Source organism: Homo sapiens, chromosome 5 (genome assembly GCF_000001405.40).
Source record: "Homo sapiens chromosome 5, GRCh38.p14 Primary Assembly".
NCBI classification, from domain to species: Eukaryota; Metazoa; Chordata; class Mammalia; order Primates; family Hominidae; genus Homo; species Homo sapiens.
The window spans coordinates 115,817,002-115,842,286 of record NC_000005.10 but is presented as its reverse complement, the minus strand read 5'-3'; the positions used below and the strand labels follow the sequence as shown (position 1 = coordinate 115,842,286).

The 25,285-nt window shown below is 38.5% G+C and overlaps 2 protein-coding genes and 1 long non-coding RNA gene across 20 annotated transcripts in view, besides 5 other annotated features; 1 reads left to right on the top strand and 2 right to left on the bottom strand.

Annotated features, from left to right (window-relative positions):
* AP3S1 (adaptor related protein complex 3 subunit sigma 1) overlaps positions 1 to 352 on the bottom strand; it is a 72,147-nt gene extending 71,795 nt beyond the window's left edge. For 8 of the 14 annotated variants that reach the window (NM_001002924.3, XM_047416696.1, NM_001318093.2 and 5 more), the window contains exon 1: positions 181 to 352. Coding sequence is in view for 9 of the 14 variants with exons in the window: in NM_001318093.2 (NP_001305022.1) it covers positions 181 to 249 (69 nt within the window). In the remaining 5 variants the exon portion in view is untranslated. The remainder of the gene's footprint in view (positions 1 to 180) is intronic. The other 6 variants (NR_157085.1, NR_157084.1, NR_157086.1 and 3 more) reach the window with 1 other exon arrangement.
* Positions 96 to 475: a silencer, noted in NCBI's record as "silent region_16255". NCBI's record gives its function as "represses an Ori minimal core promoter by ATAC-STARR-seq in GM12878 lymphoblastoid cells {active_cell/tissue: GM12878}" and the evidence as "EXISTENCE:reporter gene assay evidence [ECO:0000049][PMID:35858748]".
* Positions 454 to 1,355: an enhancer, noted in NCBI's record as "H3K27ac hESC enhancer chr5:115176629-115177530 (GRCh37/hg19 assembly coordinates)". NCBI's record gives its function as "activates a minimal SCP1, AML or CMV promoter by ChIP-STARR-seq in primed H9 embryonic stem cells {active_cell/tissue: H9 hESC(primed)}" and the evidence as "EXISTENCE:reporter gene assay evidence [ECO:0000049][PMID:30033119]".
* Positions 706 to 755: an enhancer, noted in NCBI's record as "active region_22938". NCBI's record gives its function as "activates an Ori minimal core promoter by ATAC-STARR-seq in GM12878 lymphoblastoid cells {active_cell/tissue: GM12878}" and the evidence as "EXISTENCE:reporter gene assay evidence [ECO:0000049][PMID:35858748]".
* Positions 722 to 14,087, top strand: ATG12 (autophagy related 12). 5 transcript variants are annotated; one of them, NR_073603.2, is made up of 6 exons: positions 722 to 897; positions 1,353 to 1,469; positions 1,675 to 1,790; positions 4,523 to 4,659; positions 9,623 to 9,685; positions 10,424 to 14,087. NR_073603.2 is itself a non-coding variant. In NM_004707.4 (4 exons), the coding sequence occupies exons 1-4, from the start codon at positions 735 to 737 to the stop codon at positions 10,481 to 10,483; spliced, it is 423 nt and encodes a 140-aa protein (NP_004698.3). In that variant the 5' UTR covers positions 722 to 734; the 3' UTR covers positions 10,484 to 14,087. The 5 variants fall into 5 exon arrangements, 2 of the variants coding, with proteins under 2 accessions (NP_004698.3, NP_001264712.1); NR_033363.2 differs by lacking the exon at positions 1,353 to 1,469; NR_033362.2 differs by lacking the exon at positions 1,675 to 1,790.
* Positions 766 to 1,065: an enhancer, noted in NCBI's record as "active region_22937". NCBI's record gives its function as "activates an Ori minimal core promoter by ATAC-STARR-seq in GM12878 lymphoblastoid cells {active_cell/tissue: GM12878}" and the evidence as "EXISTENCE:reporter gene assay evidence [ECO:0000049][PMID:35858748]".
* Positions 1,359 to 1,859: an enhancer, noted in NCBI's record as "H3K4me1 hESC enhancer chr5:115176125-115176625 (GRCh37/hg19 assembly coordinates)". NCBI's record gives its function as "activates a minimal SCP1, AML or CMV promoter by ChIP-STARR-seq in naive H9 embryonic stem cells {active_cell/tissue: H9 hESC(naive)}" and the evidence as "EXISTENCE:reporter gene assay evidence [ECO:0000049][PMID:30033119]".
* Positions 9,405 to 25,199, bottom strand: LOC124901049 (uncharacterized). The gene is made up of 2 exons (XR_007058908.1): positions 25,116 to 25,199; positions 9,405 to 10,036 (listed from the first exon to the last, which is right to left on the bottom strand). It is a non-coding gene; the product is annotated as an uncharacterized LOC124901049 (long non-coding RNA).
* Positions 25,200 to 25,285: the final 86 nt, after the last annotated feature.

Sequence of the window (25,285 nt, the reverse complement as noted above, 5' to 3'; positions counted from 1 at the left end):
CAGGGAGGTGGGCACCCTGTCCACACCCACCAGGAGGCTGACAGCTGGCGAGCGCCAGGCGGCCGGGACGGGACAAGGGCCGCAGCGCGCCGGAGGGGGTCGCTCTGAGAAAGCCGCGCTGGGCGCTGCCCGTCGCCAACGACTCCCCCTCGCCCGGATCAGCGGCGGCTGGATACTCACGTAGGGCTGGTAGAACTTGGAGAGCCGCGGCTTCCCGTGGTTGTTGAAGATTAGGATCGCCTTGATCATGGCTGTGCCGGGCCGACCGGGTGGGCACTGGGGGCCAGGGCGGGGGCGGGCGCGCGAGCCTCGCCTCGTAATCTCGCCTGCGATCCTTCCCCACCCGCCCCCTCCCGCACGCGACCGCGCGCGCTCCCGAGCCGTCGGGCGGGGCCCAAGGGGCGGGGCCTGGGCGGGGCAGGCACTAAGGAAAGCGGAAACATTTCTAGGTCCGAGCCAGCGGCCTAACTGGAGTGTGCGCATTCGACCGAGCACAGACACGTTGCCCACCGCTCCTCTCCCGAGGTCTGTAGTCGCGGAGAAACACATGTTGCGTTACTAACGTTCAGAGGTCTGCGACAGCTTCGATTTGAATGACTAGCCGGGAACACCAAGTTTCACTGTGTAATTGCGTCCCCCTACTCCGGCGCCTCCTTTGCGACGCTCCCTGGAGAAAAGCACGCCCACTGCACGCGCTCAGTCGCTACTTCCGCTCTCGAGTGTCTCCAAGCAAGATGGCGGAGGAGCCGCAGTCTGTGTTGCAGCTTCCTACTTCAATTGCTGCTGGAGGGGAAGGACTTACGGATGTCTCCCCAGAAACAACCACCCCGGAGCCCCCGTCTTCCGCTGCAGTTTCCCCGGGAACAGAGGAACCTGCTGGCGACACCAAGAAAAAAAGTAACTGAATTTATTTCCGGGCAGAGAGGCGGGAGGTTCAGATTGCATCCGAGTAGGGGTGGCGGCCAGTAAAGAAGCAAAATTTAGAGGAGCGCCTGTCCTAGACCTGCATTTTGACCAGTCATCAGAAGAAAAGAAGTGTACTTTTTGATTTTTAAGGCCTTTAAGTTGAGTGTTAAAATACCATCTCTGTCTATCGGTGTAGGGCCTGATACTTGGCTGCCACACTTATTTTTATACTGTATTTTTTTGAGTTGGCCAGACTGCGAGCTCTTTGAAGGAGGGAGGGAGCTGAGTGGGGCGGGGGGAGGGGGGTCTCGGTAATTCCAGGTACTTAACACAGGAGCTAATTATTTGAGTAATGTTTTATGGTGGTAGGGGTGGTCATTGGCAAAGCCTGGATTAGAATTCATGCCTTCCAACTTAACTCGCTTTTGCTTTTTTCCCCCTCCCAGTTGGTTGTGAATTCACTCCTTAAACCAAAAACCAAATTCTTATGCAGAATGAAGACTGCTAAGGGAAAGCTAAAGGCATAGATGTTACCTTTTTAAGAAACACATTTTGGAACCTTTGTGAGTTATTTCATTGCTTGAGTCAGCTATCCTCAACCCTTTATTGCTTGAGAATGTTTCCCTTTGTAAAAGAGATTGCTAAAATTACGTGTTCTAAAGCACTCTGTTTAGAGTTAGAGTTGCCTATGGGAAAAGCAGCATATAAGCATCCTCGATTCAGAGAGGCTGATTTCGTCCTTAGACGTTTTCCCCGTTCTGTCTTAAGATGACAGTGGTCTCTGGCCGGGCGCGGTGGCTCACTCCTGTAATCCCAGCACTTTGGTAGGCTGAGGCGGGTGGATCACCTGAGGTCAAGAGTTCGAGACCAGCCTGGCCAACATGGTAAGACTCCATCTCTACTAAAAATATAAAAGTTAGATGGGTGTGGTGGCGCGCGCCTGTAATCCCAGCTACTCGGGAGGCTGAGGCAGGAGAATCGCTTGAACCCGCGAGGCGGAGGTGGCAGTGGGCGGAGGTCTCGCCATTGCACTCCAGCCTGGACAACAAGAGCGAAACTCCGCCTCAAAAAAAAAAAAAAAAAAGACATTGGTCTCATTGCTTTTTCTTCAACTTCTGCTACTGTGGAGGATAATTCTCTCCCAAGACTGCCCCCCTTCCCACTTTAAATCAGACTCCCATTTCCACCTGATGCACTATAAGTATTTCCATGGATAGCCACTGGAATCTTTCTTCAAAAGAATTCCGCAGGTTTTACAGTGTTTTGTTGCATTTTTTCTTCCAATTTACTATAGGCAAGAGCGGACGTTCGGAGATTCGTTTTAAGGTCTAACAGTCTTAGTCAAAACTTGTTACTTGACTCTGATGATAGCTGTGCAAAACAAAAGCTAAAAAAAATGGCTTACAATCTAAATATTGCCCGAGGGCATATTTTCTTGGTCTGGACAGTATTTTTTTGCAAATTGAACTGTCATTTAAGGATGAGATTTTTATTTTCTGGCTCTTGTTAGCATTTGAGTTTGCCTCTCCAATATAAAACTTAGTTTCTAACTATTCCTACCTTGTGCTTGTCATTATTTGTTGAGGATAATATGATGAAAGCAGCTTAACTGTTTTGTATCCTCAGCCTTTGTTAATCTACAGAAGAAAGATTGTTGAAACAGACCAAGGTTTTGGCACTGGAGGTATGTTAGGTTTCCTGGGGAGTAAGTGTTTCCCTAGTTGATTCTAATGTGTATCCGGGTTCAGAACTACAAGCAAATCACCTTTAAAATTAAAAAGAGAGGGCAGCTATAATTAAATTATTTTCCTTCTCTGGTTTCTCACTGTCTTACACTTCATCCTTGGTAGCATAACTCATGATATTTCCTGCTTCACTTTCTGGAAATGTTTAATTGAATTAATCGATTTATTGATAGCCCCAGGGGATTTGAGGGAGCAGTGAAAGGAGGTATGAAAGATAGGCTAACTAAAATCCCACGTTATCTCCAAATTCATTCCTATTCCTAAGATAACTGGACCTAGGATAATTAAGTAGTTCTTTAGTAGGAAGATAAAGATCATGTGTTCTAGATGCGTTCATTCCAGGAGTAAACTTGAATAAAATGACCTCTGATCTTTTGGCCCCAATATTTAATACCTAAAGAATGGAGCAAGAAGGGTGTAATAGAATAGAGTTAACTTTAGGGGGCAGCAATACACTGTTTTGCTTTCAATGTGTCTTGCTTTTTGACTGTAGATTTTTTTTTTTTTTTTTTTGAGAGGATGTCTCAGTCTGTCACCCAGGCTGGAGTGCAGTGGCTTAATCTCGGTTCACTGCAACCTCCGCGTCCCGGGTTCAAGCTATTCCCCTGTCTCAGCCTCCCAAGTAGCTGAGATTACGGGCATGCACCACCACGCCTGGCTAAGTTTTTGTATTTTTAGTAGAGATGGGGTTTCACCATGTTGGCCAGGCTGGTCGTGAACAAGAAGTTGGAAGGGGACTGGGCCCTCTTGAACTCCTGACCTCAAGTGATCCTCCTGCCTCAGCCTCCCAAAGTGTGGAGATTACTGGCGTGAGCCACCGCGCCCAGCCAGATGTATGTTTGTTTTGTTTTAGCAAATAACTTTATGTCTGAGAGACAGATTCATAGGGTTTGGGTTTGCATATCTGTGTTTTGGATCGTTGAAACCTTAAGATTTCTCTTTCTGCAACTTCTTTTTGGCTTTGGTTGTTCTATTGTTAATAACTTATTGCTTTCCTTTATTAAAAAGTTTATTACAGAAAATTTGGTAGTTACAAACAGCATAAGTAAATCCAAGTAATCATTGCCTACAATGTCACTACTGAGAAATATCATTTTGTTGCATATTCTTCCATATTTATGTGAATGTGTTTGTGATGGTTTTTAATGAATTTAAGATATTATACATGCTGTTGGAGAGATTAAATATCCACATATATACCCAGCAAGTGGCAGAGCCAGGATTCGAACCCCAGGCAGTTAAAAGTGTATGCGGTTTACTACATTCTATTTAATCAGTCACCTCCAAATATCCTTTTTGGGTATTTAGGTTTACCAGTGTTTCATATAAAAATAAATGCTTAAATGGAGGTGAAATCTTTTTAAGTGAATTTTCACACATCTCATATTTTCTTACACTGGATTCCTAGAAGTATTATTGAATCAAAGTATACCTTTATTAGGATCTGTATTACCATACTGCATTCCACAAAGGGTATACCATTTTACATTCTCAAAAGTAGTATCATCTACACTGGTAATTACTCTAATTTTAACTAGTTTGGTGGGTGAAAAGGGACATGACATTATTTTACTTTGCTTTTTGTGAACTTAAATATTGTTTGTGTATTGATCATTTGTATTTCCTCTCTTTGGAACTGCCTGTTAAGATAAAAGGCATTTTAAAAATTAGTCCTGTTGGGAGAACTTTGTAGGATCAAGAAAAAAATGATGGAAAAGAATCTAACATTTTTACATCTCTCACATATCTTCAGTATCATAAATACGTAAGATGGATGTAGATTAAATATTTCTGATTTCTAAGTCTTTTATATTCCATTCTCTTTAGATGTTTCAGTGTAATTGTCAGTAAATTTTATTCTTCTTTTACAGTTGACATTTTGCTAAAGGCTGTGGGAGACACTCCTATTATGAAAACAAAGAAGTGGGCAGTAGAGCGAACACGAACCATCCAAGGACTCATTGACTTCATCAAAAAGTTTCTTAAACTTGTGGCCTCAGAACAGTTGGTATGAAACCAATGGTGATGTTTTCCTACAAAAATTTGCAGTAGTTCCTAGGCAACAGTGAATTAACTGTTGTTTATAGAAATGCATATGGAGCCACATATGTCGCTTTTGTTATGCCCTTTTATCCCTTTATTTTTATTTATTCATTTTTTTTTTTTGAGACAGTCTCGCTCTGTTGCCCAGGCTGGAGTGCAGTGACACACTGCAACCTTCTCCTCCTGGTTCAAGCGATTCTCCTGCCTCAGCCACCCTAGTAGCCAGGATTATTACAGGAGTGCACCACCAAGCCTGGCTAATTTTTGTGTTTTTAGTAGAGACGGGGCCGCCTCAGAAGTGCTAGAATTACATGAGTGTGCCACTGTGCCCTGCCTTATCTCTTGTTAGTGGAGTTTATGTACTTTATCAAAGGATTCTCTGGGGAATTCTGAAATGAAATGTTTTAGATTTGTTTTACAATGTGAACCAGTTTATGTATTTATTTTTTGCCTCCTGTATTGTTTTCCTCAGAAAGTCACATGAAAGTATGCATGAATACCCATGCATAAAAATCTATCATAGAGCATTGCAATATCTGTACATTACTACAGAAGTTTTGGATTTTTTCAGTTTGTTTTGATAGCAGTTACTTTTTTCCTATTTTTCTTGAGGTAAGCAATGTATCTTTGCCATATATTGTGAAAGAACTAGGAAATACTTCATGTTAACAGTACACGTTAAGCACTTCACAGTGGCAGTTGTAGTAAAGGTTAATTCTTTAAATGCCACTGCATTTTAATTTGGCATTTGACTACAGAAATTTAAATGTCTACATGTATTTGGCACATTAAGTGTTTTTTATATATACATAATTATATGTATGAGACACCTTTATCTGCAAATAGATCACAATCTTGGATAGTATTAACTCAGATAGCATGAGTGGATAGGTAATTGAAGAATTGCTAAGTATTTTTTAAATAAAATCAGGAATTTTTGGGGGCACTGGGGGAAATATTTGCTTCTGAACACAGGCGTGTGCATGGGTAAAACAAGTGAACTATCATTAAAGCAGGACATGTTGGAATTTCTTTTTGTCAGGGAGGAGCAAAAAACTGACTCTGATCTAAGAGTTTGGCTGCAAGTGCTCTCACAAAAGTGAAGCTAAATGGAAAAGTCAGGGGAATGAGGACATACACTTGAGAGAAATGAGCAGAGGCTGCATCTTTGCTAAAGATGCAACATGAAGAGTTGGTAAAATAAGAGTACTGAGTAATTTAATGCATTAGTTTAGAAATACATGGAGATTTAAGAAAAATGAAATGATACTGTGTTCTGTGTTAAGAGTCTTGAAATTTTGTATTGCCTGTATTCATTCAGTAACCTGAAAGGACTTGATTGATACCAATACATAGTAGGTTGAACCATATAAAATTGCCATCATTCAGCCATTTTACCCTATGAAAACAATTTCATAAGGGTTAAATTAAATCCTCTGTAGTGAATATGATTATCCTTTCCCATTTAAGCAATAGGAAACATAAGAATTATTTTGTCATTTTCCTAGATTAAACTAAAACTGATACCTCCTGAATTTTATCTAGCAAAATGGATGTTAAAGGAAAAAAAGTAATGCTAGGAATTCTGGGAAGATGGTGGAATCAGAAGGTACACGTGAATCTCTCTGAAATTCTCACAAAACTTAGTCAACTAGATAGCAAAACCAAAAACCCCTGATTAGTATTTGTAACAAAACTAGGTGATAAGGTATCCCCATGAGCCCCAAAACACATGTTGGTGGGGACAAACCACCAGCAACCACAGGACCTGCATGGTATCAGCATCTGTGCTGAAAGAAGCAGTAAGAAACAGGGTTGGCATCTGACGGCACTGAGAAAAGTAGAACCTCAAAAACGCTAATAGATCCTGACCGGGAAGTAAAGTGAGCCAATTTAAGAATAGAAGCTGACTAAGGAGTTTTGCCCTCTTCTGTAGCACGTGATGACAATACATTTGCACTAAGGACTTGAAGGGCTCAAACAATCTCAAAATGGACCCAGGAGGGCTCTGGGACCCCATACTGAGGAGAAATTTCAGGAAGTGAAATGAAAATTGAAAAGGGTAGGGACATGAGAAAGGAAGGAAAGAGAAAGACCAGATCAAAATGGTGGGGAACAGAGCCTGGAAAGCTCAAAGCAGGCCTCCATCGTTTTGAATAGTATACAAAAAACAACAAGGGGAGCTCTGTGAAGTTAGAAAAACTACCCTAATTCACCTCATTCTAAAAGTTGAGGAAAACTAATTTCACATAAAAACAATAACAGGAATAACAAGGTCAAATCCCGTACAGTGTTACAAGAAAAACGAGATGCGGAAAAGAACAGCATCCCTAGAGACGATGAAATCAAGCCAGAAATATACACCTATAAGACAAGTCGAAAATTGTAACCTTGTATTTCAAAATGAGCTAAAAACAATAAGATGGTATAAGACATGAAAGAAAAACGATCAGCATTAGTAAAACTAAGAAATGAAGCTCAGGAAAAGAATTAGAAATAAAAGAAAATTATTTCAGAAATGGAGACTAAAGTAGGAGGAACATAAACAACGGATAATATGTTAAGAAAAATAGAAGATGAAAAAAATTTAAAAAGTGAGTCAACCTTTGGACAAGAGTCTGTGAAGAAAACCAGAGCAAGGGAACAGAAAAAATACTGTAAAAATGTCATTTAAGGTAAGAGATTTGAAACTACATATTGAAAAAACATCTGAAGTACCTGAGAGTATCAACCCAGAATAATGAACATCAGGATGCATTCTGTTAAAATTACTGGACTTGAAATCATTTGGAAATGTAGGGGACGGGAAAGAGGGCATGACTTAGAAAGTTAGGCTGTCGTCAAACTTTGACAGCAAAGATGCTTAAGGAAAAAGTGTGAAATAAGGCTTTCATATCCTGCATAACTGACTTAATCGGGGCACAGACTATTAGCAGAAAATGCTATTCCAGTGAACCATGAGGAATCCACTAGACAGAGAGCTTTATAACCAGAATAACTAGAGACATCAATTTAAAGACTGCTGATTTAAAAGCAGAAAGAAAAAAAAGCTGATTTAAAGGCAAAGTAATTAATAAAACTAACTAATTTTGTCTGCCCAAGTTCTTGCAGTTTGGAAATAATACTTCCATGGAATTTTACTTTCACAAACCTGGAGTAACTACATGTACTTTAAAGTAACAAATTATACGCCACTTAGCGATTCTGCAGTGGAATTGATGATGTTAACCTGTTACTTATATAGAGCTTTATAGTATGCAAACAGATTTATGTCTTTCTGTCTTTTGAACTAACTGAATTGCTTTTTTAAAATTTCCAGTTAACACCTGTTACAAAATCACATTGAATGCCTTTGGTTGGTTCTCTGCTCCATCGAGTCTGCTGTTTTCTGTGAACACAACACCATCTTACTCTTTGTCTCCTTTGCCTGTGAAGTCCTGATTACTGCTTTCTTCACCTGGTTAAATCCTGCTTATTTCTTATTTCCCACAAAGCCATCACTGACCCTTTTGCTAGGCTAGAGTAGTGTACATTTCTGTACGCTACATACTTCATTAGATGTACTTTTCTCACCCGTATTTATTCATGTGTGTCTCTGCCTCTCCTACAGATTATAAGCTCATTGAGGGAAGAGATCACATTAATCTTCATAGTTCCATGTACAATTCTCAGCACATCATAGACACTGATAAACTAAGCTGTTATTGAGAGCCCTTCCCCTCATTTATAATGTACAAGAGTAAAATCTGGATTTGCTCATAAATTGTCAGGCACTGAACACAAATTATATCTGTATTACAAAAAATTCACATTATAATGCACATTGTTTTCTGTTACAGTTCTGAAATTTTTGTGCCAGAACTCTACTCAGCCATAACCACAAATTGATATTTCAGCATGAACTATTTAAAGATAATTTAACAATAACGTCTATTGAGTACATATACCAGGCACTGAAAGTTAGTGTATTATCTCATTTTGTCTTTCCTAACAGACCCAAGAGGTATAGGTCCTATTATTTTCCATATCTTACAAATAAAGAGGATGAGAGATTATTTGTAAAGCCAGGATTCAAACCCAGGTGTGTCTCAGAGCCTATACACTTAATCACCACACTATATTGGCTAAGAGAGATGCAAGCAATATTGATGGTTCATGGTTGGTGATCAAAATAGTATCTGTCAACCAACTATTCTGATACTTTTTTTTTTAAATACTAAGTTTAATCCAGGACATTTTAGTCCCAAATTTGGATATTAAAGGAAAACTAAATATGTTACCTGCAAATAAAGTTTTGTTTTCCAAAAAGAAAATTATTAAAGGGCACTTCAACACTGTGACTTTAAGTACTAGAAATATTTTAGTAAAAACAGACTAAACTGAAACATTGAGCAGTGAATCCTTTAAAGAGCAAGGTTATAAGGTTTTAATTGTTACTTTTTTTCCTGCTTCATTTGCCTGTAAGTGACTTTATTAAAAAACCTAAGTATATATGTCATACATTTACCCAAGGAAAGTGTACAAACTACCTTGAATATTAGACATATTGATTTTTGGCTGTGTGCCTGTGTAATTATCTTAGGAGAAATTCTTTGTGGGTAAGTGGGGACATTTTTACGATAATGTAATTTCTTGAATAGCCAGCTCTTCAAAAGCTATTTGTAAAAAATATTTAAAAGTTTCTTAGTTATACAAAGTTAGGAACCACTGTTCTAGGAACTGGAATTGTGTTATTTTTATTCCTCTGGAGGAAAAATGAGATCTTCGTAATGATCTCTTTAAATTGACTATTTAGAAAAGTTAGGAGTTCAGAGAAGCTTTCTTCAATTGTGAAAACAATACAAAATAGCTAGCTGATTGGAATGCAGAAAAATGCAGATTAATCAGGATACCATTAAACATCTCTGTTTTTCCTTCCTTTCTTGTAGTTTATTTATGTGAATCAGTCCTTTGCTCCTTCCCCAGACCAAGAAGTTGGAACTCTCTATGAGGTAAAAAAAAAAAAAAAAAAAAAAAAAAAAGAAAGAAATTACTGCTTTTTTTTCTTAATCGAGTATGCACATCTGTATAATATGTATATTGTGTAGTATTGTTAATTCACATTTTTATTTCAAGAGATGGCATGCCATTCTTAATTTTCTGGGGTAGAAAAGATGACTTTCTTGTTCTGTTATCTAACATCTTGATCATAGAAAGATATTAATAAATTATACAATGATTGAAGAACCAAGGAATAAATTACATTTCAAAGTCATCTTCATGATTCTCATAAAGTAAGGCTTTTTCTTTATCTACATTTGATTTCTTCTACATTGTTCTTATAATCTGTTATCCAAATCTGCCTACAAGAAATTGAGAAAACAGCATAAGAATGACTGTTTAACATCTTACAGAGTCATTGTAATAGTTATTAGAGTACACATACTAGCACCACTACTAGAAAACAGCTAAAATTACATATATTGTGGTTGGACATGTAGAGAAAGGACAAGATTAAAATACATAAGCTCATTCATGCCTAAGATGCTTAAAGGACAGATTTTATTAAACACTTAGGATTATTAATATGTGTCTGATAGAAACAGGCATCCTTTGAAAGAGATAGCCTGTAACATAGGTAACTTAATATACGTGTGTGGATATTTATGATACATGTGGCATTTATCTTCTTAGTTTCATCTAAGAATAATAAAAGATTGAGTTTGATTTATTGCCTTTTTTTTTTGTAGTGTTTTGGCAGTGATGGTAAACTGGTTTTACATTACTGCAAGTCTCAGGCGTGGGGATGAACCACAAAGAAAATCAACTTGCTACTACATGAAATGGATTTTCACGGAAGAGACAGCTCTGAAAAGTTTTGATGCTTGTGGCAAGAGACTTAACAGATGTGATCTATTTAGTATGTGTCTACTCTATGTTTATGCATAAGAAAACATCCATAGCATGAATGGACTCAGAAAAATGTGATTTGTATTAATGCACCAGTCATCATAAAAGATGGTCATGATAGTACACCCATTGCTCCTACTTGTTACTATTATTGCTGCAGATCTGCCTCCAAGGTTGAAAAGGAGACTAAGACTGTATAAACATCTTCATTGTCAGTTCTCAAAATGACTGAAATTGTTTTCATGGTAAAAGTTAATATACTAAAGGGTTCCTTTTTTTTTAATGTTTACATTTATCTCTATGTTTACCTTTTTAGTCACATTGACCTGCTGGCTGAATACCTCAAATAGTCCAGTAGAGGGCAGTCCACCAGGCAGAAAAGGTTAGGCGTTTTGGTTTCACATCTTTGCTGGGGAATAATAGGGGAAATGGCTGTTTTTGCTAATTTTTAGCTAATATCTAGCCAGGAGAGCAAGCACATAGGACAGACTGAAAGACTGTAATTTTACACAATACACATGGCTTAATTATTTTATTGGGATACAGAAAAATATAAATTCTGGACAAATAAGTCATATACCTGTTTTCAGTCCTAACATTTAAGGATTCTTGAGTCCCAATCACATAACTGTGGTGTTACTCTGTCATTTATATGGTGTCAAAAGCACTTGATGAGTAAACCCAGTAGCATCTTTTTGAGTGTTTCATAATGCATTTTCCAACTTGAAAACAATAATTGAAAAATAGCCTTATTGTATATTTTATGCCATGACTAAAAGTGCCATTTTTACTGATGCTATTAGACTGATAATTTCTTGAAGTGAAATTTAACCTTTTTTTCTCTTTAGTATTATGTTTATAATGCCATATTTTTAGAAAGCATTCCAGATCAGGCATGGTGGCTTACACCTGTAATCCCAGCACTTTGGAAGGCTGAGGTGTGGGGATTGCGTGAAGCCACAAGTTTGAGACCAGCCTGGTTAGCAAGGCAAGATCCCCAACTCTACAAAAAAATAAAAATTAAAAAAAAATTATTAGGCTGCAGAGGCAAGAGGATCCCCTGAGCCCAGAAGTTCAAGGGTATAGTGAGTCGTGATTGTACCACTGCATTCCTGCTGAGCAACAGAGTGAGACCCCATCTCAAAAAAGAAAAAAAAAGGCATTCTAGTAAATCGAATGTAATGTGAATGGAATTTCAAAACAGGATCTAAGATGGTATGTAGTAGAATTCAAAGTAATATCATTTTAAAGTTAAATGAGTATGGAAAAGGTCTGTTCTCTAGTTTTGTCCAGTTCAGTTTACTGAAGGAATATATTTAATTATATTCATATATTTAACAAATAAAAATATGTTGAATTTTCGTATTGTTTGCCACTGAGGGTTCAGATGATAGACCTCAAAAAATCGAAAATACTGGTTGAAATTTGTAGCATCCATTTAGTTATTCTTTTTGACCTAAATAACTTAATAGTTTATTAAATCTAAGGTTAGCTAAATATGTAGCTAACCTTATTTGTTTTCTTTCCTAACAACTCTGAAGAATACATAGGACTTTGCACTTTTTTTTTTTTTTTTTTTTTTTAAAGAGACAGCGTTTCGGTCTTGTTGCCCAGGCTGGACTGTAATGGCACAATCTTGGCTCATTGCAACCTCTACCTCCCGGGTTCAAGTGATTCTCCTGCCTCAGCCTCCTGAGTAGCTGGGATTACAGGCACCTGCCACCACACCCGCCTAATTTTTTGTTATTTTTAGTGGAGACAGGGTTTTACCATTTTGGCCAGGCTGGTCTCAAACTCCTGACTGACCTCAGGTGATCCACCCGCCTTGGCCTCCCAAAGTGCTGGGATTATAGGTGTGAGCCACCGTGCCGGGCCTGGACTTTGTACTTTTTCAAATCATATTTAATTATTTCTTGATCTTTACTCAAAGAATTATTCTGCGCTAAATTTGCAACATTAAACAATAATTAAGCCTGGATCCGATAAGTTATTGGGTGACTAGAACCTACAACACAATTTATTTTTAATTTAAACTCTCAAGTCTGATTAAACTTGGGGGAAAAACTGAACATTCAGGTGATATTTTAAATTTTCTTTGTGACTAAATAGATGTCATTAATATCATGCTTCATCTTACTGTGCATAGATGACCCATGGCACACAAAGTATATGTATAATATTGCAATATTGTACTTCCATCTTTAAAAGTATGCCAAAGACTTCATAATGAATTCACCATATTTAAGGAATAAGGCAAATTAATGTTTATCCGAAATCAAAATGAGATTGGATAATTCCTGGAATCTGATTTCTGTAAGTTTCAGTCCTAAAGGGACCTTAAATATCTACTAGAACGAAGTACAGTGTATTTCTCAGATTACATGACATTAGTCAACCAATTTAGTTGTAACACAAAGTGAGAAAGCCTTAGGTGTTGAAGGAGTGTGAAAATAAAAATCTCTTTTCATGCAGTTTCTGCTTCATTTTCCAAGGATTATAATATGCTGAGTAAACTTTTGGCACTAAGGAAGCCAGCTACAGGCCACGTAATGAAAACTATTCAGAAAACAGTTCAGCAAATACTACTATTTGAATACAGTTCAAATCGTATTTATATAAATACTCTGCCTACATTATTTAACCCAAACTGGATTATTCACCATTCTTTGAAGATGCCTTGTGTTTTCTGTTATCTACTTCTGCTCGTGCAGTTTACTTACACCTTCACCCTTTCAAATCCTAACTCTTCTTCAAGGCCTGATTCAGATTTTAACTTTTTAAAGGCTATCTGAATCATTCAAGGAGAAGATACCCTTTCTCTCATAAAAACACTTAGAGCAAACTACCACTATTAAATCACTTATTGCATACTGCCTCAGAGCCATGTGTCCAGTTATTCTGGTTTTTATCTGGTACCCACACACACATAATACTTAGTACATTTCCTTATATGTAAATAATTAGTAATGTAACACATCGAGTGAATGAAATTGTGATTAGCAAAGTATGACAGCTAAAAACAAAGGAAATTTTGTATAGTTTAAGTTTTTGTACAGCAGAAGGTAATGGAAAATATTTGCAACATATGACAGTGTTTTTAATGTCTTAAGTATATGAAGAATTTGTTTCAATTGGTAAGAAAAGACCAACTGAAAAATAGGCAAAACATACCAAATTTCGATTCACAAAAAGATACAAATGGCCAACAAAACATGAAACACCTTGAACCCCATTGGTTACAAAAAATACAAATAAAAACAATGCTGACTGACAATAAAAATAATGTACATCTTGCTATTAGCAGAGTTGTGGGGAAATCCTGTCATATTTTGGTGAATAGAATATGAGTTGGTATATCACTTTTAGGGGGCCATTTGGCAATATCAAAAACCTTGAAACGTAAGTATAAACTTCAGTTTGTTCGTATAACCTGTCATTCACATATTGAGTGCCTACTATGTCCTAAATATTGGAATAACACTAATAAAGCTCATAAGAGACTAATAAAGTCCCTGTTCTTGGAGTCACTTTCATGTTGACTCAAGGGGGTAGGACAGATTTTCAGATTTGAATTTAAATCTCGGAAGTTTTTAAAATAGAATTTTTAGAAATAATGGAAAGTAATTTGATACCTGATACTAGCTACTATACCCATGTTTTCGTATTTAATATTAATGAAAGATAAAACGTGAGTAAAATCTTTAGAGGAATCCTTATAAATCAATTCCCATAGTTCCTTCTGTCATAGCTGATACACATGAATCTAGGTTGATTACTTCTAGTGATAGACAAAAAGGATGTCCTGTCCATTTTGAGATGGCTCTATTTGTTTCATAACTGCCTTTCTTACAACATGGCAAAATCTGCCTCCTTGCTTCCTCCAAGTATTTGTTCCCAGTTCTTTTATCTACATCTACAAAACATACCTTTCCCCCTTTCCTGCCCCACTTTTCCCAAGTCTTGTCTTAAGAATGATAAATCCATCCCTATAGTTGCTTAGAATCTTGACTCTCTTCCAACCCAGTTTCAATCCATCAGCTTTACTACCCAAAGCAATCTACAGATTCAATGCAATTGCTACCAAAATACCAGTGACATTCTTCACTGACATAGAGAAAAAAAAATCTAAAATTTGTATGGAACCACAAAAGACCCAGAACAGCCAAAGCCATCCTGAGCAAAAATAGCAAAGCCAGAGGCATCACATTACTGGGCCTCAAATTATGTACTACAAAGCTATAGTAACAAAAACAGCATGATAGAAGCATAAAAACAAGACACAGACCAAGGGAACAGAATAGAGAACCCAGAAGTAAATCCATGTATTTACTTACAGTCAACTCTTTTGACAAAGACACTAAGAACATACATTGGGGAAAGGACAATCTCTTCTATAATAAATGGTGCAGGCAGAACTGAGTATCCAAATGCAGAAGAATGAAATTAGACCCCTCTCTCACCATATACAAAAATCAGAATAGATTAAAGACTTAAATGTAAGACTTGAAATTATGAAGAGAAAATTGGGGAAACCAAAAGTTTAAGCTGGGCAAAGATTTCTTGTAAGACCTCAAAAACACAACCAATGTGAAAATGAGCAAATGAGATGACATCAAGCTAAAAAGCTGCACAGCAGAGGAAACAAAGTGAAGAAATATGCTACAGAATGGGCAAAAATATTTGCAAACTACTCATCTGACAAGGAATTAAAAACGAATATATAAAGAGCTTAATAGCAAAAAAAAATTAAAAATAGGCAAAAGATCTGAATAGGTGTTTCTTAGAAGATATCAAAACGGGCAACAGGTATATGAAAAAATGCTCAACATCACTAATCACCAGGGAAATGCAAATCAAAACTAAATGAGCTATCACACCCCAGTTTAAATGACTTATCCAAAAGACAGGCAATAATGGATGCTGGTGAGGATGTGGAGAAAGAATACTTGTACACTGTTGGTGGGAGTGTAGATAACTAAAGCTACTAAGGAGAAGAGTATGAAGTTTCCTCAAAAAATGAAGAAAAGAACTACTGTGTAATCCAGCATTCTCACTGCTGGTTGTAAACCCAAAGGTAAGAAGATCTGTATATCGAGATACCTGCATTGCAGCAGTATGCACAATAGCCAAGATACATAATCAACCTGAGAGTCCATGCATGGATCAATGGATAAAGAAAGTGTACATGATGTCATCTTGAGCCCTAAAAAAGAATGAAATCCTGTTATTTGCAACATGGAACTGGAGGATATTGTGATGTTAAGTGAAAGAAGCCAGGCACAGAAAAACAAATAGCACATACTCTCATATGTGGGAGCCTAAAAAAAAAATGCTTTTAGGATTGGCTGGCAAGATGGCCAAATAGGAACAGCTCCAGTCTGCAGCTCCAAGTGAGATGAATGCAGAAGTGGGTAATTTCTGCATTTCCAACTGAGGTATCCTGTTCATCTCATTGGGACTGGGTAGGCAGTGGGTAAGGCCAAAGAGGGTGAGCAGAAGCAGAGTGGGGTGTCGCCTCATGCAGGAAGTGGAAGGAGCAGGGGAGCCTACTTTTCCCAGCCAAAGGAGGCTGTGAGGGACTGTGTTATCTGGCCCAGATACCACACTTTTCCCCTGGTTTTAGAAATCCACAGACCAAGAGATTCCCTCATGTGCCTACACCCCCAGGGCTCTGGGTTTCAAAAACAAAACTGGGCAGCTGTTCAGGCAGACACCGAGCTAGCTGCAGGAGTTCTTTTCACACATCGATAGCCGAATTGATCAGTGGAAGAAAGGATATCAGAGATTGAAGATCAACTTACTGAAATGAGGCGTGAAGGAAAGATTGAGAAAAAAGATTGAAACGGAATGAACAAAGCCTCCAAGAAATATGGGACTATGTGGAAAGACCAAACCTACGATTGACTGGGGTCCCTGAAAGTGATGGGGAGAATGTAACCAAGTTGGAAAACACTCTTCAGGATATTATCGAGGAGAACTTCCCCAACGTAGCAAGACAGGCCAACATTCAAATTCAGGAAGTACAGAGACCACCACAAAGATACTCTTTGAGAAGAGCAACCCCAAGACACATAATTGCCACAGTCTCCAAAGTTGAAATGAAAGAAAAATGTTAAGGGCAACAGAGAGAAAGGTCAGGTAACCTACAAAGGGAAGCCATCAGACTAACAGTGGATCTCTGCAGAAACCCTATAAGCCCGAAGAGAGTGGAAGCCAATATTCAACACTGTTAAAGAATTTTCAACCCAGAGTTTCATATACAGCCAAACTAACTTTCACAAGTAAAGGATAAATAAAATCCTTTACAGACAAGCAAATGCTGAGGGATTTTTGTCACCACCAGGCCTGCCTTACAAGAGCTCCTGAAGGAAGCACAAAATATGGAAAGGAAAAACCAGTACCAGCCACTGCAAAAACATATCAAAATATAAAGACCAATGACACTATGAAGAAATTGCATCAACTAATGTGCAAAATAACCAGCTAGCATCATGATGACAGGATCAAATTCACACGTAACAATATTAACCTTAAATGTAAATGGGCTAAATGCCCCAATTAAAAGACATACACTGGCAAATTGGATAAAGAGTCAAGACCCATCAGTGTGCTGTATTCAGGAGACCCATCTCCCATGCAAAGACACACACAGGCTCAAAATAATGAGATGGAGGAATATTTACCAGGCAAATGGAAAACAACAACAACAACAAAAAAGCAGGGATTGCAATCCTAGTCTCTGATACAACAGACTTTAAACCAACAAAGTTCAAAAAAGACAAGGGCATTATATCGTGGTAAAGGGATCAATGCAACAAGAAGAGCTAACTATCCTAAATATATATGCACCCAATACAGATGCACCCAGATTCATAAAACAAGTTCTTAGAGACATACAAAGTGACTTAGACTCCCACACAATAATAATGGGAGATTTTAACACACCACTGTCAATATTAGATCAACAAGACAGAAAATTAACAAGGATATTCAGGACTGGAAATCAATGTGCAAAAATCACAAGCATTCCTATACACCAATAAAGACAAGCAGCCAAATCATGAGTGAACTCCCATTCACAATTGCTACAAAGAAAATACCTGGCTGGGCACGGTGGCTCTTGCCTGTAATCCCAACACTTTGGGAGGCCGAGGTGGGCAGATCACGAGGTCAGGAGATCGAAACCATCCTGGCTAACATGGTGAAACCCCATCTCTACTAAAAATAAAAAAATAAAAAAAATTAGCTGGGTGTGGTGGTGGGCACCTGTAGTCCCAGCTACTCGGGAGGCTGAGGCAGGAGAATGGTGTGAACCCAGGAGGCAGAGCTTGCAGTGTGAGCTCAGATCGTACCACTGCACTCCAGCCTGGGCGACAGAGTGAGACTCCGTCTCAAAAAAAAAAGAAAATACCTAGGAATACACCTTACAAGGGACATGAAGGGCCTTCAAGGCCCCCTGCTCAAGGAGATAAGAGAGAACACAAACAAATTGAAAAAAATTCCATGCTCATGGATAGGAAGAATCCATATCATGAAAATGGCCATATTGCCCCAAGTAATTTATAGATTCAATGCTATTCCCATCAAGCCGCCATTGACTTTCTTCACATAACTAGAAAAAAACTACTTTAAATGTCATATGGACCCAAAAAAGAGCCCGTATAGCCAAGACAATCCTAAGCAAAAAGAACAAAGCTGGAGGCATCACACTACCTGATATCAAACTATACTACAAAAGCTACAGTACCCAAAACAGCATGGTACTAGTACCAAAACAGATATATACACCAGTGAAACAGAACAGAGGCCTCAGAAATAACACCACACATCTACAACCATCTGATCTTCAACAAACCTGACAAAAGGAAGCAATGGGGAAAGGACTCCCTATTTAATAAATGGTAATGGTACTGGGAAAACTGGCTCGCCATATTTAGAAAACAGAAACTGGACCCCTTCCTTACACCTTATACAAAAATTAAGGTGGACTAAAGACTAAAATGTAGAACCTAAAACTATAAAAACCCTTGAAAAAACCTAGGCAATACCATTCAGGACATAAGCATGGGCAAAGACTTCATGACTAAAACACCAAAAGCAATTGCAACAAAATCCAGAATTGACAAATGGGATCTAATTAAATTAAAGAGCTTCTGCTCAGCAAAAGAAACTGTCATCAGAGTGAACAGGCAGCCTACAGAATGGGAGAAAATTTTTCCAATCTATCCATTTGATAAAGGTCCAATATCCAGAATCTACAAGGAACTTAAACAAATTTACAAGAAAAATCAACCCCATCAAAAAGTGGGCAAAGGATATGAACAGACACTTCTCAAAAGAAGATATGTATGCAGCCAGGAAACATGAAAAAGAGCTGATCATCACTGATCAATTGGAGAAATGCAAATCAAAACCACAATGAGCTAGCATCTCACACCAGTTAGAATGGCAATCATTAAAAAAACCTGGAAACAACAGATGCTGGTGAGGATGCGGAGAAATAGGAACACTTTTACACTGTTGGTAGGAGTGTAAATTAGTTCAACCATTGTGGAAGACAGTGCGGTGATTCCTCAAGGATCTAGAACCAGAAATACCATTTGACCCAGCAATCCAATTACTAGGTATATACCCAAAGGATTATAAATCATTCTGCTATAAAGATACACGCACACTTATGTTTATTGCAGCACTGTTCACAATACCAAAGACTTGGAACCAACCCAAATTTCCATCAATGATAGACTGAATAAAGAAAATGTGGCACATATACACCATGGAATACTATGCAGCCATAAAAAAGAATAAGTTTATGTCCTTTGCAGGGACATGGATGAAGCTGGAAACCATCATCCTCAGCAAACTAACACTGTAATGGAAAGCCAAACACGTCATGTTCTCACTCATAAGTGGGAGGTGAACAATAAGAACACATGGACACAGGGAGGGGAACATCACACACCGGGGCCTGTGGGTGGGTTGGGGGCAAGGGGAGGGAGAGCATTAGGACAAATACCTAATGCGTGTGGAGGTTAAAACCTAGATGATGGGTTGATAGGTGTAGCAAACCACTATGGCACATGTATACCTATTTAACAAACCTGCACGTTCAGCACTTCTATCACAGAACTTAAAATGAAGTTGCTTTTATGGAAATACAGTGTAGATGATGGTTACCAGAGGCTGGGAAGGGTAGTAGGAAAAGGGGAATGATAAAGGGTTGGTTAATGAGTAAAAAAAATACACAGTTAGAAGGAAAAAAATCTAGTGTTGGGTAGCACAATTGGGTGACTATAGTTAATAATATATACTTCAAAAAATAACTAGAAAAGTGGAGTTGGAATGTTCATAACACAAAGGATGAGAAATGCTTGAGGTGATGGATATTTCAGTTACCTTTATTTGATCATTACATATTGTATGCTTGTATCAAAATTTCACATGTACCCCATATATATGTACATTTATGTATCCATAAAAATTTAAAAGCCTGACTGATTTACCTGCAAAACATGTTCAGAGTCCAGCCATTTCTTATCTGCTACCACTGTGGACAGAGCCACCATCATAGTTTTTTTTCACTCAAATTGCAACAACTAACTCGTTGGTTCCTCTGTATGTACTCTCTCCTCGCCTAGAATCCCCAGTGGCTTTCTATATTGGTGTAAAAGCTGAAGTCTTTACCTTGGCCTATGTGATATGTGGTCATCACTTCCCCACACTCTGCCACCCAAATGCTGTTACTCAAACACTAAGCTTTCTGCAATCCCAGGGCTGTTGCACTTACTGGTTCTTCCACCTGGAAACTTGCCCTAGACAAATGTCTTGCTAATATCCTTCAGTCCTCGCTCAAATACCACCTCAAGGAAATGTTCCCCTGAACTCCCTCTGAAACAGCAACTCGCCACTCTACTTACCCAACTTCCCCTGTTTTATTTTTCTCCATTGTGTATTTTATCAAGTATTTGTATGTCCATTTCTCCATGTATGCTGTATACAATATTTGTTGGTGTGCTCCTCCTACCAACCCAACCCCATTAAAATGTAAGCCCTCTGAGGGCAGTGGCTTAGTTTTGTTAGCAGTGCCTGGCATATAGTACATGCTTTTTAAAATATGTTGGATAGTTCCCTTCTCTTTATATCTACCACCATGTCAATGCCTGTCTGAAAATGTGACAGTCATTGATTGCCCTGGACAATTCAGAGTACAGTAGAGCTACCTCTCTGGATCTAGGTATTCTACTTATGTTAATAAAGTCTATAATGTCAACTTTTTTTAATGACTACATTTAGGTTACAATATGCAACACTGTTGGGAAGAATTCAGATGTCCTTTGCAAAGAACCTGAAAAAAGTCTTTTCTGGATTTGAAATCACAACCCTAGGATCCTTAAAGAGGAATGAGGAACTAGACGAATGCTTTTACTAGCCAATAACTCTAGTATTGAGGAACTCTAGCCAATATGCTTTTACTAATTTCATTTATGCATGCACTTAAGAAATATTTCTATTTGTGCCTAACCTGCACAAAATACTGTGTGCTAGGCCCTGATGGTGATATAAAAATAAAATTTAAGAGGAGCCTGTCTTAAAGGTTCTCACTGTCAAAGTGATCCACGTAAGTAATTGCAATACATGCTGAGAAATGGTAAGTGCCTTAAGGAAGATAGTGATTGTTCCATTGTTCAGGAGGAGGAGAAATGGCACATTTGACAGGAAAGTAAAAGCTGGATCTTAAAATAAGATTGGGACATGTTGAAATGGCTGGCTAGGATTTAAGCAGAAGGAAAAGCTTAAGCAAAAGAATGGATTTGGTAAGCACATTCAATTTGGCTGAAAGATATATTCATAAAGAAAAATAATAAAAGGCGAAATATCAAGAAAGGTAGTTTACAGCCAAAATATGAAAAAAAAATTAATGCCAGCCTGATAAGACCTATTGTATAGGAAAGTTAGAGTTATTGGAAGAATGTGACCAGGAAACAACATCATCAGTTCTGTGCTTTAGGCTAAGAAATCAAGCAATTGTGAATAAAGGATACATATGGGAGAAAGCTGGAACCAAGGAATCCATTTCAGAGGCCAGTGCCATAATCCAGCCAAAATCAAATAGAGGTTTGAATAGTGGAATAGCAATAAGAATACAAAGTAGAGAAAATGATAAGGAGATACAAAACTTGGCAATTGGTTGAATGGGGTCTGGATAATGATGCAAGGAAGGAGTAGGCAGCAGTGGATGAGGTTTTTGAGCCTGGGTGCCTCATTGCAGAAATAGAACCTTTAGGAGTTTGGAAGAGCATTCTTGAAAGGAGTTTCACACATACTGCATCGGAGGTGCCAAAAGGTGTTGGAGATTGCAGTCTGCATGTAAAACTAAGGGAATGTGGGTGGCATCCACATACAGACAATCAATGAAATCCTGAGTGTGAGGGAAGGGAGGAAGTTGAGAGAAGAAACAATAAAAATGTGTCAATATCAGTATATTAAGAAAGTTCCTTGAGGTCTTTGAAGGTCAAGAGGTGGAGTCAGATGGGCATAAAGATGGCAACAATAGACACTGGGGATAACTAGAGGGAGGATGGAGGAGAAAAAGGGTTGAAACTGTTGGATACTATGCTCAGTACCTAGGTGACAATAACATTTGTACCAGAAACCTCAGCATCACACAATATACCCAGGTAACCTGCACATGTAACCCCTGAATCTAAAAAGTTGAAAAGAGGGTAGGTACAGTAGCTCATGCCTATAATCTCAACACTTCAGGAGGCTGAGGCAGGAAGATCACTTAAGCCTAGTAGTTCAAGCCCAGCCTGTGCAACATAACAAGACCACATCTCTACAAAAAAATAAAAAATCAGCCAAGTGTGGTGGTGCACGCCTGTAGTCCCTGCCACTCAGTAGGCGTAGGCAGTAGGCTTGCCTGAGCTCAGGTGTTGAAAGCTGCAGTGAGCCAATGGCTCCACTGCACTCCAGCCTCAGTGACACAGCAAGACCTTTGTCCAAAAAAACAAACAAAAGACCAGTCACAGACTGGGAGGAAATATATACAAATCACACATCTGACTTGTTTCTAGAATATATAATAAACTCTTAAAACTCAACAATAAGAACAGATAATTAAGTTTTTAAAAGGACAAAATACTTGGATATTTCACCAAAAATTATTTACAAATAACTAATCACATAAAAATATGCTCAACATCATTAGTCATTATGAGAGACAGGACAAGCTGGATTTCCTAGGCCGACTAAGAATTCCTAAGCCCTAGCTGGGAAAGGTGACTGCAACTACTTTTAAACACGGGGCTTGTAACTCAGCTCACACCCAACCAATCAGGCAGTAAAGAGGGCTCACTAAAATACAAATTAGGCTAAAGCAGGAGGTAAAGAAATAGTCAAATAATATATCGCCTGAGAGCATGGGGGAGGGACAATGATCCGGATATAAACCCAGGCATTAAAGCAGGGAGTGGCAACCCTCTTTGCGTGCCGTCGCATTGTATGGGAGCTGTGTTTTCACTCTATTAAATCTAGCAACTGCACACTCTTCTGGTCTGTGTTTGTTATGGCTCGAGCTGAGCTTTCGCTCGCTTTTCACCACTGCTGTTTGCCACTGTCACAGACCCGCCACCGACTTCCACCCCTCCAGATCCGGCAGGGTGTCCGCTGCTTTGCTGATCCAGCGAGGCACCCATTGCCACTCCCGATCCGGCTAAAGGCTTGCCATTGTTCCTGCATGGCTAAGTGCCCGGGTTCGTCCTATTTGAGCTGAACACTAGTAGCTGGGTTCCACGGTTCTCTTCTGTGACCCACGGCTTCTAATAGAGCTATAACACTCACCGCATGGTCCAAGGTTCCATTCCTTGGAATCCATGAGGCCAAGAACCCCAGTTCAGAGAACAAAAGGCTTGCTGCCATCCTGGGAGCGGTGGCCACCATCTTGGGAGCTCTAAGAACAAAGACCTGCCCATAAGAATTAGAGATATAGAAAATGAAGAACACAATGCAATATCAGCACACCTCTATTTGGCCAAAATTGGTAAAACTGACAATACCTGGCGAGGATGCGGGGCAACTAGAACTCATACATCACTGTTGAGAATGTGAAATGGCACAGACCCTTTGCAAATTAGTATGTCAATTTCTTGCAAATTTAAACATGCACTGACTAAATGGCCCAGCAATCTCACTCCTAGGTATTTACTCAGGTGAAATGAAAATTTCTATTCACCCGAAAAAACATTTGTTGAATAAATTAATGAATGAATAATAAACGAATGGAGCTATCATAATGTAAAATGACTAGATAATATCTAAAATTGCTGAAACAAAAAAAAATATAAGCCTATTTTTGGAAAAAGGAAGTAACTACCACAAGGAATAGTTAGAAGAGTTAAGAGACTGACTCTTTAAGCACAGGACAGATGGTCAGGAATGGTTAAAAGGGCCTGCTGCTTTTCATTGACCTTCCAGTACTATTGATTTTTTTTAACTACGTGAATATATTACTTTCATAAAAATGTAAAAAGAAAAAGAGGAGTCAGAGAAAGAAAATGAATTGTCAGAAAAATTTAGAAGTTTTATCAACTGAAATGCAGAAAAGATAAATTGTGCTTGCATTTCATTTTTGTTGTTCATTCCAAACATTTATGGATTAGACTAGCTGAAATGAAGTAATTAAGAGACTCAATAGAAAACATTGCCAAGAATAAAAAATAATTTGAGGAAACCATGAAAAGTTTACAGGTTACTCTGTCACAAAATACTTTGTTAATTCACTACCCCGCAGCAACACACATCACCAAGGCTGGCTTCTGGAATGCTTTCTACTTGTAGCCATTTTTGAACAATAGGTGATTCCGCTTTTAACAACACTGTTAGAATATAATGTAGCGAGTTTTACCAGAGATGTTTAAGACTACCTGGCACAAGTAAATTTCATTGTATACATGTATATACACGAGGGAGGGTGATCATAGTCTAGAAAAAAACAGGTCTTCAGAAGTCTAGAACTTTAATAACCTTAAATCCAAATTATTCCCTGCGTCCATCCATAATGAGAAGGAAGAAATCTACACTTGCATTTCTTCCACCTTTCACATCTTTCTCATTTAAATCCTACTGTACTTGATTTGTGTTGTTCCCAACGTACTAGGTGCTATGCATGACGTAGAAACGTGTTTCCTTATATGTATGTACTAGCAGGCTCCTTCAAGCACATGCCTAAGGTTGAAAGATTCAAATATAATTATAGCCTCTTAAATTATTGCGTCAGAGCCCGCCCTATCCCCTCAGAAAAAGCCCCCTTTTACACCATCAAATGAAATATCAGGTTATTTGCACTGGATATTTTTTAAAAGAAAATATTTGATTTTAAAATCAAAGAGTTCTTGGTTTTCCATCATTTCACTAATTGTCTTACTAGAGACCCGAGTCTCCTTTGTCAAAATATATTTCAGTACGCATTTTAAAAAATATGTGTGTGTGTATACTTAAATATATATATATATAAAGTCTTGGACTTATTTTCACCTAGCCTGGGGCATATCGTGGATAGTTTCAATCGACAAAACAGGCACTCTCTGGCCTAGGAGTGGAATCCATCCTCAATTTTCGCAGGCTCCTCACAATTCTCTATTTGGAAGAAGTGTCCCTCTCCTTCCCTTTTCTTTTCCTCCTTTACTCAGCGTCAGTCCCCGCAG

Bases quoted from the DNA above. Each gene is read 5' to 3' on its own strand.
- ATG12 (NM_004707.4), top strand. From the start codon at position 735: ATGGCGGAGGAGCCGCAGTCTGTGTTGCAGCTTCCTACTTCAATTGCT. The intron at 898-4,522 runs GTAACTGAATTT...CTTCTTTTACAG, and splicing joins TGGCGACACCAAGAAAAAAA to TTGACATTTTGCTAAAGGCT. The intron at 9,686-10,423 runs GTAAAAAAAAAA...TTTTTTTTGTAG, and splicing joins AAGTTGGAACTCTCTATGAG to TGTTTTGGCAGTGATGGTAA.